General features: G+C 41.0%; 1 protein-coding gene across 9 annotated transcripts in view, besides 2 other annotated features; it reads right to left on the reverse strand.

The window, feature by feature from the left end:
* Positions 1–12,162, reverse strand: part of DGKI (diacylglycerol kinase iota) — a 465,938-nt gene that overhangs the window by 433,282 nt on the left and 20,494 nt on the right. The window lies entirely within an intron of this gene.
* Positions 5,658–6,438: an enhancer, noted in NCBI's record as "NANOG-H3K4me1 hESC enhancer chr7:137504722-137505502 (GRCh37/hg19 assembly coordinates)". NCBI's record gives its function as "activates a minimal SCP1, AML or CMV promoter by ChIP-STARR-seq in naive H9 embryonic stem cells {active_cell/tissue: H9 hESC(naive)}" and the evidence as "EXISTENCE:reporter gene assay evidence [ECO:0000049][PMID:30033119]".
* Positions 6,464–6,513: an enhancer, noted in NCBI's record as "active region_26726". NCBI's record gives its function as "activates an Ori minimal core promoter by ATAC-STARR-seq in GM12878 lymphoblastoid cells {active_cell/tissue: GM12878}" and the evidence as "EXISTENCE:reporter gene assay evidence [ECO:0000049][PMID:35858748]".

The following is a 12,162-nucleotide window of genomic DNA, read 5'->3' on the forward strand; positions in this document are numbered from 1 at the left end:
AACGATTCAAATTCCATCATCAACTCCTCTTCTCTTCGAAGGGTTGAATCTCTCATACTCTTGAATATTTTAAGAGCTTCTAGCTTCTCTGAGGCTAATAATGGACTAAATGACCAACATTTAGTTCATTATTTTTCCCACCCATCTATGTTTTGGGGTGCATTGTTTGAAACCCCTCAAATCCAATTCCCAAGGCCCCTAATCCCCCACTCCCCATAGCATTCTCAGACTAGTAGCCACAAAGGGCATGTGTGAATAAATACACAAGATCACCTTGGGTATTATACCTCTTGAACACTGCCCCTTGCTAGATATACATCTTGGGAAAATAACCTCAGAGACTTGAGCTGCTCCAAACAACCTGGCACAAACATTGAGGTTTGAAATGAGACTAAGAAACAGACTCTGTAAGTATTATTAAATGTTATAAGCACCCCCGCTAGAGAACAAGTATAGAAAGGAATATGAGCCTATAAATATTCCAGAGGTAGACAAACCATGTATGTATATCACGTATATTTTAAAACAAAAAAATGGTACGCTGGTTTTAGGTCAAAAAGGCAGATGAACTAAAAGAAAATACACTCCTTCAGCAGCAATTCCTGCCACTGGATTACTCAAGACATCTCCAGTTTGGATAATGAAAGATTATGCTTCTCCTTGGCTAACTTGAATCCTGCTGAAAACATGGAAATATCAATAATTACCCAAAAGATCAGCTCTCTTTTTTCTTCCCAGGAAAAAATAAAAAAAAAAACTAAATAATATTGACCTTTGGCTCATAAAAGTAGAATTACTGGTTTTATTATTACTTTTCTTGGATATTTCTAGAACCTGAATTCCTTCCCCTGAATCTTTTAAAAATTCATCCCCCCTCCTTCGTCCTGGAGCAGCTAGAAAGAGAAGACACCATGTGCCACCCGAGAGGAGGGAGAATTCAGAAACTCGTCTTCCATATGTGAAGCCAACATGGCTGGTCATTCTCAGAAAATCATCTTATTTGAGTTGCTGGCCCAGCTTCTGCACAGGCTTTGGTGCTGGATTAGCTGCTCCCTTTCAGAAATTAGCTAAATGGCTTGCCTAAGAAGTCGGGGGTTGAGTGTATTTTGAAATAGAAAAAACAACAGAAAAGTTCACTGATCTACACATTTCTTCTTCTTCTTTTGATGTGGGTTACAAACAAATTTTCTAATGAAATGATACATTTATTCTCCCAATAAACATTTTCTAATTCACATATTCAACATCATCTATTTATTAATATTGAAAGACTACTAGATGTCAGCTATGGATGTTCACGCTAGGGACATGGATATGAACAAAGATGAAGATGTAGGCCTGTGGAAGTTTACGGGCTTAGGTGACACTCGTAGTACTAGCTATTATCTAACACCTCTCTTATGTCACTTAATACATTGAAAATATAAAATACTGTAGGTAGAACAGAGAGAGAAAAGATTAGTTCTACAAGGGAGAAAAGAGACTTTAGATAGAAGCTTGTGCCCAAAGCAGAACTTGAAATGTGACTCTACTGCTCTTTCTATTTTCATTATGGGTACCCTTTTATATTATATTATAGGCCCTTATATATTTGTGATGTCAGGGTGTTCCCTGGGTCTGTTCCCATCATCAACCTGTCCCTAAATAATCAAGTCTGCTCTCCTGATTTCAGTTCCCATTACAAATTCCACACTTCATCTGAAACCATTCTCTTGAATGAGAGAATCCTTTTCATGTTAGCCTTCACCTTGATGGCTCACAGGTCCCTTGAGTGCGATATGACCAACATTTAGTTCATTATATTTCCCGTCCATCTATGTTTTGGATGCATTGTTTGAAACCCCTCAAATCCAATTCCCAAGTCACTTAACCCCCAACTCCCCATAGCATTCTCAGACTAATAGCCACAAAAAGCATGTGTGAATAAACACACAAGATCACCTTGGGCAATTTACCTCTTGAACACTGCCCCTTGCTAGATGTACATCTTGGGAAAATAACTCTCTTTCTCAGTTGGTTCATATGTAGAATGGAAATAATCAGATACCTACCCCCTGAGGTTGTTTTGGGGATTGAGTTAATACATGCAAAATGCTTGGAACAGGGCCTAGTATCAATGGTAAAAATGAATGTTAACTACTGTGATTATTCCAGGAACTCAGAGTCTATGTCCAACTTACCACATTCTTCCACTCAGAACACCCATATATTGAACTTTTCCATGCATTTTCCAATGTGCCTCACACTATTCTAAGCTCTAGAGATACAGCAGTGAACCAATCAAAGACCTTGTGGTGCTTATATTTTAAAAGAGGAGAGACAGATAATAAAAATAAACAAATGCATAATATAACATTAGATGGTATCAAAAGGTATAAAGACAAAAAACATTGTTTTGTAATAGAGAGTGACAGAGAAGGAGAGGCAAATTTTTATATGACAATAGGGGGTGAGTAAGGAAGCTGCTAAAGAAGGAACTTTTGAGTTAAGACCTGAATGATGCAATCCAAATGTAAAAAGATCCGAAGAAGGGAGTCTCGACCTTGGCACTAATGACACTTTGGACCAGAGAGTTCTTTGTTGTGAGGGGCCATCCTGTGCATTGCAGGATGTTTATCAGCAGCCTGACCTCTAACCACTAGATGCCAGTAGCATCCCAGGAGTTATGACAAAATCTCCCTCACTGAATAGCAACACTAAAATGACAATTTAAGTGATAAACACTGTTATCATTCTCGTCTCACTTCTTGACCCAACTGATCATGTTATATTTCTCGGTTACCAACTTGCTTTTTATTTCCTAATCAGCCAAGTCATTTCCCATGGCCATACCTGTGCTTATGCTGACCTCTTGACCTTTGTAGAAGACCCTTCCCACCCCTCTTCAGCTGAACAATTCCCCATCATCCTTTCATCAATTCGATTCAAAGTGTCATCAGTTCAAAGTGTCTCATTGTCTAATTCATTTGTATTCAGTGTCTATAACACACAGTAGGTGCTTGACACATACTCGGTGCTTAATAAATATTTATTGAATGAATTAACTACTTTGCCCTCAGGATTTTACAATTATTTAGAGGCCACAAGATATATATACCTATAACTCTCAAATAATACTAAAGGTGATAAGTGACGTACATTCAATAATAACAAAGTGTTTATTTGAGTTCAGAATGAGGAAAACATACTCTTCAATGAGTACTTTTCTTATGTGTATAGAACAAGTAAAGACTGTTGCTGTCGAATTGTGACTCACCTTCCCCCAATACAGTCCTATAGTCACAGACCATGGTCATAATTTCACTAGTGATTAATAAAGCCCTTGCAGACCAGATGTGAGGATATTTGGTAGGTCACACTGACCATCACTCCTACTGGAAAATCAATCTGCAGATACCAGTGGATTATTTCAATGATAAGAGTCCTATGAATGTAGAGAATGCAAACTGTATCTGAGTGAGGCCAATGCTAAAAGGTACCTTCCCATGCCTTTCTTACCCGTTCTTACCCAGTCTTTAATATGCCACATCTGTTTTATTCCTATGCATATGTGTCCCAGGCCTTCTTAGCCACAGCAGGGGCTAACATCAGACACTATGTACTAGTACGAACTTATCAGTCATCCACAACCAGTACCAGTTGCTCCATATTTTGAATATTCTTATTGGCTTCACCATTACTTGGCTACACACTATCAATGACATTGTCTTACAGCATGAGAATCATATAGAAACCGTTTATTCCATTTGGTTACAAAGATGAGCTAACTGGGAATATTTTGAGAAGATGGCAGGCTACCAAGCTAAAAACCTTCTAAGACAAAATTGAAGGAAATACACCCAACCCGAAAGCAAACAAGCAACTCAGAGATTTAGAATTGCTCTGAAGTTGGTCCAAACTGCTCATCATGTGATTCCATTCCATAATAATCCTCTAGGTCAAAAGTTCAATAAGCATAAACTAATATTTAGGAGTCCAGAAATGTGTCATCAACCACACAAGTGCACTCCTCAGATGGCTCAAGTGGACCATTAAGCTTTGTGTATCTGTACATTCATGAACTGAGCTCCTGTCACACCATTTTGGCACATATTCCCATCTCCCACAATTTTTTTGTTTGTTTCTTGAGACGGAGTTTTGCTATTTTTGCCCAGGCTGGAGTGCATGGCGCAATCTCAGCTCACTGCAACCTCCGACTCCCAGGTTCAAGCCTCCCAAGTAGCTGGGATTCTCCTACCTCAGCCTCCCAAGTAGCTGGGATTATAGGCATGCGCCACCATGCCCGGCTAATTTTTTGTATTTTTGGTAGTGACGGGGTTTCACCATGTTGGTCAGCTGGTCTTGAACTCCAGACCTCAGGTGATCCACCTGCCTCAGCCTCCCAAAGTGCTGGGATTACAGGCGTGAGCCACCGCACCTGGCCCTCCCACCATTTTTTGCCCATATTTCCAACTCCCACCAGATTCCTATCTATCTATGGATCAAAAACTCAGGAAAAACTCAGCATAAGTGTATTACACACAAATCAATACACAGATAATTTCTATTTCCATGTATGTTGATAGTTCCTAAGACAATTAGAAATAACGTTAAACTTTAAAATAATGTTTTTCCCCTCAAATGACCTAAGCAACAGAAAAATCATTGTCAAATAAAGCTTCTACAAAAAGCCCTCCCAACTGCACAGAAGTGGAAATTTCCATTTTACAGGTGATGATCCTAAGGCTCTTCGACAGATTAAGTGCTTTAGCCATGGTCAAAAGCACGATCAAAGGCTGAAACAAGACTTGCATATTTAAACTCCAGCTTAACTGGGAACCTGGTGCTCCACTCCCTGCTTGATGCTACCTCTTAATATAGCTATTGAGTACAGCCCACATTTAAACACCTACTCACAGACGTTACACCAGATAACACTCCTCAACGAAGCTGTGTTCCCAGACCCACAGCTTTGTACCCACACAGAAAATCCAAGAACTTCAGACTACAAGGGAATTTTTTTTTTTTTTTTGAGACAGAGTCTCGCTCTGTCGCCCAGGCTGGAGTGCAGTGGCGCCATCTCGGCTCACCGCAAGCTCCACCTCCCAGGTTCATGCCATTTCCTGCCTCATCCTCCTGAGTAGCTGGGAATACAGGCGCCCGCCACCACGCCCAGCTAATTTTTTGTATTTTTAGTAGAGACGGGGTTTCACCGTGTTAGCCAGGATGGTCTTGATCTCCTGACCTTGTGATCTGCCCGTCTCAGCCTCCCAAAGTGCTGGGATTACAGGCGTGAGCCACCGCGCCCAGCCAGACTACAAGGGATCTTAAATGATCATATGGCCCAGCCTACTCATTTAGCAAATATTTGATCATGGTTCTCTGCACAGCCCAGCACAACTCCCCATCCCCAAGAAGGTGAGATCCAAACTCATTGTATGGCAAGCACTCTACATCATCTGACCTAGTCCACTGCCAGCCCCACAGCCTGCCAGTTCATCCTGCACATGCATGCTAGTGTCAACAAACAACTTGTCTTTTCTAGAATACACCATGTTTTTTCAAACCTCCATTACTATTCCTTGTCCCCCTACAGAATCAGTCTTCAACAACTAGTTCAAATGTCACTACCGCTGTAGGGCATTCTCTGACCCTCTCAGAGAGCATCGTTGCCCCTTCCTTCATCATCCCATGACACTTCTTGCATGCCTTCGACATAGTGCATTTCTCATCATGTGTAAGTCTATGTTATTCATATGTCCACCTTCTTCCACCAGAAGGTGAGTTCTGTGAGGACAGGGACTGCATTTTATTCATTTCACTCATCCTTGCATCTAGGCTAGCACTCAGTGTGCTCCTTAAAAAGTTAGAAAAAATGAGATACAGAGAAAAAAGATGAAGGATGCTAAAGTCAGAGAAATTAAGAGATTTGCTCAAGATCACCCAAATGAATCTCACAGCAGGAGGCCCCAATCAGCACACTTTGTCAGACAGACCAGGAGACAAAAAGCCACTTAACTACCTACTGACATTCCACATCCACCCACTGCCCTCCATTTTCTCTTCATCAGAACATAGTTTCTGATTCATCCCACAGAAAACTCTGCCACAGCTCTGGCAGAGACCCTTGCAGATGAAAATGGCTGTGAGAGCCCTGCACCTTGCAGAAGCAGAGAAGCGCAGCTGGTGGGAGCACTCAGGTGAACAGTTTAATGCATAAGAGGCTCTTCCATGTAAAACAGGCGGGCAAATGCTGGGGGGAGATGGATGGGCTCTCTTGTTTCAACAGTTGCTACAGTAACCCCTCTTCCACCACCAAACCCCAACCTCATAACCTTCTAGAACACCAATCCCAAGGACAGTGTCTCTGGGGGCTGTGGGTCTTCTTAGCTGTCTCTCCAATGTCTGGGAAAACCCCGTGTCTGATCATGGCCTCTCCTGCTTGCAAGTAAAGCCAGCCAGAAAAGGCAGCCAAGAAATTAGCCAGCTGGCAGCAACTCTGGAGGTGGGGCTGTGTGAGACCAGACCAGCCTCTCAGCAAGACGCAAGGGCCTCCCCCAGCCGGCATCAGGCCTTGCTAAAGGGTGAGGAGTCTCTAGTTTCGGCCCCTCACCAACCTCCTCTGAAAATGTCAGAGCAACCCTCCCCTCCTCCCCTGGGGCCCAGCCCTAGAGGGGGAGAGCAGCTCCTCCCCAGCTGCTGCCAATTTGCACCTCATTAGCAACAGCCTCTCCCCAGTGACAGTCCCTCAGAAATCCCAGACTGAGCACCTCGTTGGTGCTAAATGAAATCTGGGTGTTTGAGGAGAATGACATCTGAGCTGCTAGGAGAATGACAAGTCTCAGGGCTTCCCAGAAAACTGGGAGAACACAGGCTACAGAGAAGAGCATTGTTCCTGGAAGAAACCCACAGCTTCACGTCCGTAGTTACTGACAATCAAAGGGATATTTTGAAAGGAGTTGATGGCTGCAAGGTAAATGATGAGCTGAATGAATGCGACTTAATTGCTGCAGAATGCCACTGGAAGTCACAGGGGGTGCCTCCTCTACTTGGAATGCTTGAAAAAAAGATGTAAAATTACCAATTCACCCCTGGTCACAGACAGAGAATTGGGAAAGATGAAATACCTAAAAAAACTCTTAAAAGTCCTTTAGAAGTAAGAGGAACTAAGAACAACATTGTTTAAAAATTCTGAAGAAATACACGAATATGTTAACTTTTCTATTGTTGTAAAGCAAAACAGAATAAGCAACTTCCAGGTCACTATGGTGAGCTGGACACATACTTTTAGCCCAGCTCTCTCCAGAAACTCCCAGTAAGATGAAAGTCAAGGAAATAAAAGACATACATCAGAAAAAAAAAAAAGAAAGAAAGAAAAGAAAGAAAACAGGAGATGACAATAAAAGAGACAGATGACAACCTTTTTGGAAGCTGCGAAGTGAGCTGAATGCAGGCAGAGTAGACAAATCCAGAAATTAAATGTGTTAAGAAGGAAGCAGCAAACAAAAAGAGGTGGGGTCACCCCACAGAGTTCCAGAAAAGCTCAGAAACTAGAGGCATCAGGTAGTGCTGAAGGTGAGGGTGTGAGGAGGAGCCAAAAACAGGAAGAATCCTTTCTAGAGAGTAATTAGACCCCCATTCTGAGGACCTCTGACTACTCCCATGTGCCACACACAGCTATGAGACTGGAGATTTAGTTTCTAAAAAAGCTACACCAGAGAGAACTAGAAAATACAACCGCAGCTGGGTTTGAGTGTGAGACCCTCTACTAAAAGCAGAGAGAGCAAATGAAAGCCTATCCACTGAATAATAATAATTCAGCCTCAGGGCACAGAGCGGTGGCTGACACCTGTAATCCCAGCACTTTGGGAGGCTGAGGCGGTTGGATCACCTGAGGTCAGGAGTTCGAGACCAGCCTGGCCAACATGGCGAAACCCTGTCTCTACTAAAAATACAAAAATTAGTCAGGCGTGGTGGCACATGCCTGTAATCCCAGCTACTCAGGAGGCTGAGGCAGGAGAATCACTTGAACCCAGGAGGTGAAGGTTGCAGTGAGCCGAGATCACTCCCCTGCACTCCAGCCTGGGGGACAGAGCAAGACTCTGTCTCCAAAATAATAATAATTATTATTATTATTCAGCCTCAGAAAAAAGATAGATGTAGAACTCTTAAGGAAAGTGGAGGATTCTTCTCTGAGAAAACTAAACAGAAAATGCTAAAGTTTAGGGTTTTTTCAATAAAACAAACCAGGACCCCACGGTGAAGCATAAGTCACAGACATGCACACCGAGCTTCCATTCAGCCTTTTGGGGCCTCTCTCTTAAATATTACTGGATCATCAGACATTTGAACAGCCTCCAATGTAAAGAGAAGCTATCAGCATGAAGAGAAGAAAATTTTTGAAGAAAACAGAATTAATGTAGGGTGAATACAACATCCAAAAATTATTATTAATACCCTCAATGAATAAAAGAAGATATTAAAGCTATGTAACAAAAATAAAATAAAACAAAAAGGAACCTCAGAAAACAAGAAAGAGCTCATAGAAATAAAAAGTATGATCACAAAAAATTTAAAAATCCAGTGAAAGGATGGCAAACAAATGAGGAAATCTCCCAGAAAGAAGAATAAAAGGTAAAGGAGAACTTTAATAGAAAAAAAAAATCAGAGGAATAGTTCAGTAGATACATTGGCTATTTAATATAAATTCCAGGAAAAAAGCAACTGGTAAATTGGGGAGGAGGAAAATATTCTCCCCCAACCCAAAAAAAAAAAATACCAGACAATTTCTTGGCATTAAAAGTTTTTAGAGCGAAGAGATCTAAAAAGGTCCCAAAACCCATGAATATATGTACCTATACAAAGTACACCAGTTTTGAAATTCCTAAACAATGTATATAAAGGGAAAAATGTTAAAAATAAACCAGAAAGAAAGAAAAAGATGTAAAGTTATTGAGAATTAGAATGGAATTTTTCTCAGCTGTGACTCTGTAAGCACAGCAGCAACAGAGATATGCCTTCACATTTCTGAGGTAAAATTATTTCCCATCTAGAACTCCATAACCTGAAAAGCTCTCAGTCAAGTGTGAAGGTAAAATGTATATATATTCTCAGACATAAAAGGACTCTAAATATCTGACTCCCATGTACCCTCTGCAAAGAAGCTCCTGCGGATGTTTCACATCCTGAAAAACTTTTTCAACTTGGTCATCTAAAAATAGGAAGAGAGTTCCTGGGGAAAAAACCTCATTGAGGAGGCTGGTGTTGTTCTTCTCCTTCTTAAAATTGTTTGTTCCATCAGACAAGGCATAAGTCAGAAAAGGAGGTGTGACGCTTAGGAAATCTGGAAGTCAGAGGATCCGCCTGAGGAAAATGGCAGAAGGATGTCAAAGTATTGGAGAAGAACGGAAGCTATGTAAAAACCAGTTCAGACAGGGCAAGATGATGGAAGGAACCAGAAGGGCTGTCTACAAGAAAAACCATGAAACTGACTCATTATTTGATACAATTAAATGCAATAAAACATTTATTGTCTTGTTAAGAACTTTGTGGAAGAATCATGAGTAAGTCCATATGAGAATAAGTTTTAAAATAAGACCAATAATACAAGAAAGAAAAGGTTTTCATAGCACACTGGGTGACTCGGCTATGGATAAGATTTACAAAGTCATGATAATATAAGCATTTATTAATGATTTAAATAAAATTGTAATATGTATTGGAAGGATGGAAGAAGAAACACATAAGGGTGGGATAAAAAGAGAACTACTAAATCCTCACCTCAGAAGGGACAGTTAAAAAAAATTACCAAACAGCACTTAGTGGTTAGTAGCATGTGATGTATAAATACAAATGCAGAATCAGAAAAAACAGTTAATATATCATAACAACGCTGAAGAAATGAAAGTATGGGAGAGACTTTGAAAATGGAACTATTGGCCAGGTGCAGCGGCTCACGCCTATAATCCCAGCACTTTGGGAAGCCGAGGCGGGTGGATAACCTGAGGTCAGGAGTTCGAGACCAGCCTGAGCAACATGGAGAAACCCCGTCTCTACTAAAAATACAAAATTAGCTGGGCATGGTGGCACATGTCTGTAATCCCAACTACTCGGGAGGCTGAGGCAGGAGAATCACTTGAACCTTGGAAATAGAGATTGCAGTGAGCCAAGATTGTGCCACTGCACTCCAGCCTGGGGGACAGAGTGAGACTCCATCTCAAAAAAAAAAAAAAGAAAAAGAAAAGAAAATGGAATTATTGGGTTTTATTTAAAGCCCTGTCATTCTTTTTCACTTTTAAGTTCAGGGGTGCATGTGCAGGTTTGTTACACAAGCGGTTGGTTGTACAGATTATTTTCTCACCCAGGTATTAAGCCTAGTGCCCACTATTTTTCCTGATCCTCTCCCTCCTCCCCGCCTCCACCCTCCAAAAGGCCCCAGTGTGTGTTACTTCCCTCTGTATGTCCATGTGTTTTCATCATTTAGCTCCCAGTTATAAGTGAGAGCATGCAGTATTTGGTTTTCTGTTCCTGTGTTAGTTTGCTAAGGATAATGGCCTCCAGCTTCATCCATATGCCTGCAAAGAACACGATCTCATCCCTTTTTATGGCTGCATAGTACTCCATGGTGTATATGCACCACATGTTCTTTATCCAGTCTATCATTTATGGGGATTTAGGTTGATTCCATGTCTTTGCTATTGTGAACAGTGCTTCAGTGAACATATGTATGCATGTGTCTTCATAATAGAATGATTTATATTTCTCTGAGTATATGCCCAGTAATGGGATTGCTGGATTGCATGGTATTTCTTTGAGGAATTGCCACACTGTCTTCCACAATAAAGCTCTGTAGTTCTAACTATGAGCTATGCCTTAAGTCTTGCTTATATATTACTTTGGTTAAATAAATATTATATTTAACAACGAAACCCAAAAGCTGGCCAACCCTCACATAACTGCATTTGCACGTCTCCAAAACAATCTGTACCATTTATAAACCTAGGCTCCAGAGCTGGTGTTAAGAAATTTCATTACCCTAAGAAGTTTGTAATGTCTTCACGTTATCCCATGGCAGACGGCATACATGTGATGAAGCATGGTGGTGGTGACAGCAATATCTTGCATGGCTGTAGGGCTATAAAATTTACAATGTGCACACATTATTCCATTCAGCACCAACAGCCATGATGGGAAATAGGTATCATTAGCCTCATTTTTCAGATGAGGACATTGGGGCTCAGAGAATGAGACCTATCTGAGGATTAGCAAGTGACATGAAAAACGCCCATTTACACAGGCATGCACCCCCCAACACACAGACACACACACACTCTCACACACACACATTCACACGCACTCACACACATACACACACTCACACACACACATACACACACACATACACATACACTCACACACATACACACACACACACTCAGTGGTAGGCAGTAGTATTTTCTAACATGGATGGACGGTGACACAGTAACAGACTTGTTTTCTGAATTTGTTTATGTCTTTGTCAATCTAGGGCAGTGAAAAGTAAACCTTTTTGAATGAAGGCTATCAAGAAAGAAAATTGTGGGACACACTTTTTTTCATTTAAAATAAAACTGCCTCTATTAAGTAACAAGAAAAAAATATGAAGTTTTACATCTTTGAATTTAGTATTGTTGACTAGAATTATGAACTTGCTTAGTAGTCTCCACATTATTAACAATTGGATTTAGTTGAAAAATCAAGTTTTTAACTTCTTAATCATGAAATCAGTTTGTAGGTTGCATCTCCAAGTCAGGCAGGTCATGTGGGCCTGTGGGTCCAAGACTGTTCATCACTCTGGGTGGCCTTAAACCAAGACTCTATTTTTTCCTGCCTGTTAATAATACTTTGATCTCAAAGTTGCTCTCTTTTCTATGTTTCTCTATTTTCCATTATATGAGAAGAAAGGTGATTTCTCCAAAATGCAGAGCGTGAGCCAGCTCTCAGGCATTGCAATGCATGTACATAATGCAGAGAATAAGCCGGCCATCGTCCTAATCCTTCTGGAACAGGCCTGAAAGCCAGCAGTCAGAATTGGTCACACTGACTTTCCTCCACAATGTTGCACTCCATTTACTGAAGATTATGTCTGAAAAGAGTGTGTGGTTTGCAGCTAAAGGCAAATCTTTCTTAGCTGCAAAATTATCT

This window comes from Homo sapiens, chromosome 7, assembly GCF_000001405.40.
Source record: "Homo sapiens chromosome 7, GRCh38.p14 Primary Assembly".
Classification (NCBI taxonomy): Eukaryota; Metazoa; Chordata; class Mammalia; order Primates; family Hominidae; genus Homo; species Homo sapiens.